Below are 2,604 nucleotides of genomic sequence, written 5' to 3' on the forward strand. Positions count from 1 at the left end.
AAGCTGTGAAATACATGGGATCTCTCTTGACTATCTTTGTAACTTTTCTGTGAATCCATGCTATTCTAAAACAAAAACATTATTTGCAAAAAAAAAAAAGAAAAAAAAAAGCAAACATCAAGTTACAACCAAAGAGTTACTTCAGAAAATCTCTCTACAGAGAAATATGCAGTAAATCAGCCTAACTATGGGCAATCAATGGTTATAGAAACAGGGACTTTTTCCTTCTTTTTTTTTAAGGAGTTATTCACTGCAAGTCTGATGTCATCCATACCCAAAAGCCCTGAGCTGCATAATGATGATCCAGCCTCCTGTCCCAAGCCCCTACTCAAATACCCAAAGCCTAATATTGTTTCCACGTAACTGTCCCCCAGGTCTCTCAAATGCATGTGACAACAATCCATGTACAATAAAGCTATGTATAGTGGTAGACTATTATTTTAATAGTTCAAATATCCAACACAGACTCATTTTCAGGAAGGCTGATGTTTGTGAATTCAGCCTCTTGGCCGGCCCTTGTGATTTACTCAGCCTCCAAAATGGATGAATCCATGTTATAAACCATTTGTGAACAAGGTCCACTGGCAAATAACCCAGTCATTCCTTAATGGCCAGAGCAGTTCTTGGGATCATTCAAAATAAACTGAAGCTAATTTTCTTTTGGTGCAGGGATGATGAGGTAGAAGTAAAGATTAGGAATAATATGAAACCCCTCACTAATTTTTTTTTTTTTTTTTTTGAGACAGAGTCTTGTTCTGTCACCCAGGCTGGAGTGCAGCAGTGCGATCTCAGCTCACTGCACCTTCTCGAGTAGCTGGGACTACAGGTGCGTGCCACCATGCCTGACTAATTTTTTATATTTTTAGTAGACAGGGTCTCACCATGTTGACCAGGCTGCTCTCAAACTCCTGACCCCTGGTGATCCAGCCTCCCAAAGTGCTGGGGTTACAGGCTGGAGCCACCATGCCTGGCTCCTCTCACTAAGATTCTAAAATCAGGAAGTTGGGCCCTGAGGCTGGGCCTGCAGATGAGAATTAAGACTCTCTTTTGCAGTTACTTTCCCTCCATCTTTGATTTGTTCTTTCGTCAATTATTTGTTGAGTGCCTACAATGAACCTGAAAGCTGTGACCTATTACAAGGTGGTTTTTGAACACCTAGAACAGAAGAAAAGCAAATGGAACCAGAAATGAAATAAATCAAGCCAGGAACTACCTGGATGCCAACTTCCACAGTTCTTAACCCAATGGTACATGGCATACAGTAGGTGCTTAATTAAATATTTGTTGAATAAATGAGTAAACACATCAAGGCTTCCCCATAAATACCTGTCTGAATAACTGCATCAAAGGCTGGGTCTGATGGCAAATTAAGAAACTATTCTGCGGTAAGAGCCTTTGGAATGACAACACCCAGGAGTGAACTGCAGAGACTCTTTACCAAACACACTCATCCTGGAGTTCCTGTGAGTCAAGGCAATGGAATAAGTGCAAGGAGCTTGTTAAGTTCCTTATTACAACATTGCTCCTGTATTTCCCAGGTCTCTCTAATCTTCATATTAGCTGAGTAAGATCAATACATCCTTAATATAAACTGAATGATTATTTGTGAACAAATCTTTAAAAGCAGAGTAATCAACATGATGCTTTGGAGAAAGTATTGAGTTAGAAATTAAGAGAAGAGCATTCTGGTGCCAGGTGTGTCTTCATTCTCATAGAACTTTAGACAGGTTATTCTACTTCTTTGTGACTCTGTTTCTTTTCCTAAAGAAGAGGGTGCAGTGAAGAATTAGACTACATTATCTCTCTAAAATCCCCTCAGGGTCCAAAATCTTATAATTCTAAGGCTATTACTCTAATAATTATAATACCTATTCATAGATTGCACTGTTTGTTTTACATGCTTTCCAAGTATTGTCTTATATAATCCTCACAACAATTGTATAAAGTAGGTACTATTATTCCCATTTTCAGATGAGAAAACTGAAGCACAGAGAGGTTAAAGATCACAGGCAGTCCTCATGATATCATGTTGACTGAAACTCACATATATTGAAATCATGCAAAGCAAGGGCACTGATCTGATATGCACATATTTTTGTTTGTGCAATGTCTTGAAAGCTAATCACTGTACATAAACTCAAGCAATTCAAATTCAGAGTCTGCATGCATAGCTTCTATCTACACCAATAGTTCTCAAAGGGTAGTCCTCAGAACAGAAACATCATCATCCATGAACTTGGTAGAAATGCAACTTTTCAGACCCCAGTCCAGACCAACAGAATCAGAAACTCTGGGGCTGCAGCTTAGCTGTCTGTTTGCAAGCCCTCGAGGTGATTCTGATGCAGGTCAAAGTTTGAGAAGCACTGTTCCACAAGTTCCTGTTTAGTGACCCCTAGAAGATGTGGTGATGGAAGTCAGGAAGCATAGTGCAATGGTTGGGGCATCCTCAAAGTTCATCTACTCCAAAGAACTAAGCATCCCTTCAGCAGAGAGACAAAAGCCATAAAAAGGAAACATGCAGAAGTAGGGTCAACTTTGCAAGCTGGTCCTTTTCTTTTTAAGAGATGGAGGTCTCGCTAGGTTGCTCAGGCTAGTCTCAAACTC

General features: G+C 39.8%; 1 annotated feature.

Moving 5' to 3' along the window:
* Window positions 884–2,083: an enhancer, noted in NCBI's record as "CDK7 strongly-dependent group 2 enhancer chr3:31453982-31455181 (GRCh37/hg19 assembly coordinates)". NCBI's record gives its function as "activates an origin of replication core promoter dependent on BRD2, BRD4, P300/CBP, MED14 and CDK7 cofactors, with strong dependence on CDK7, by STARR-seq in HCT116 cells {active_cell/tissue: HCT116}" and the evidence as "EXISTENCE:reporter gene assay evidence [ECO:0000049][PMID:35650434]".

Source organism: Homo sapiens, chromosome 3 (assembly GCF_000001405.40).
Source record: "Homo sapiens chromosome 3, GRCh38.p14 Primary Assembly".
NCBI classification, from domain to species: domain Eukaryota; kingdom Metazoa; phylum Chordata; class Mammalia; order Primates; family Hominidae; genus Homo; species Homo sapiens.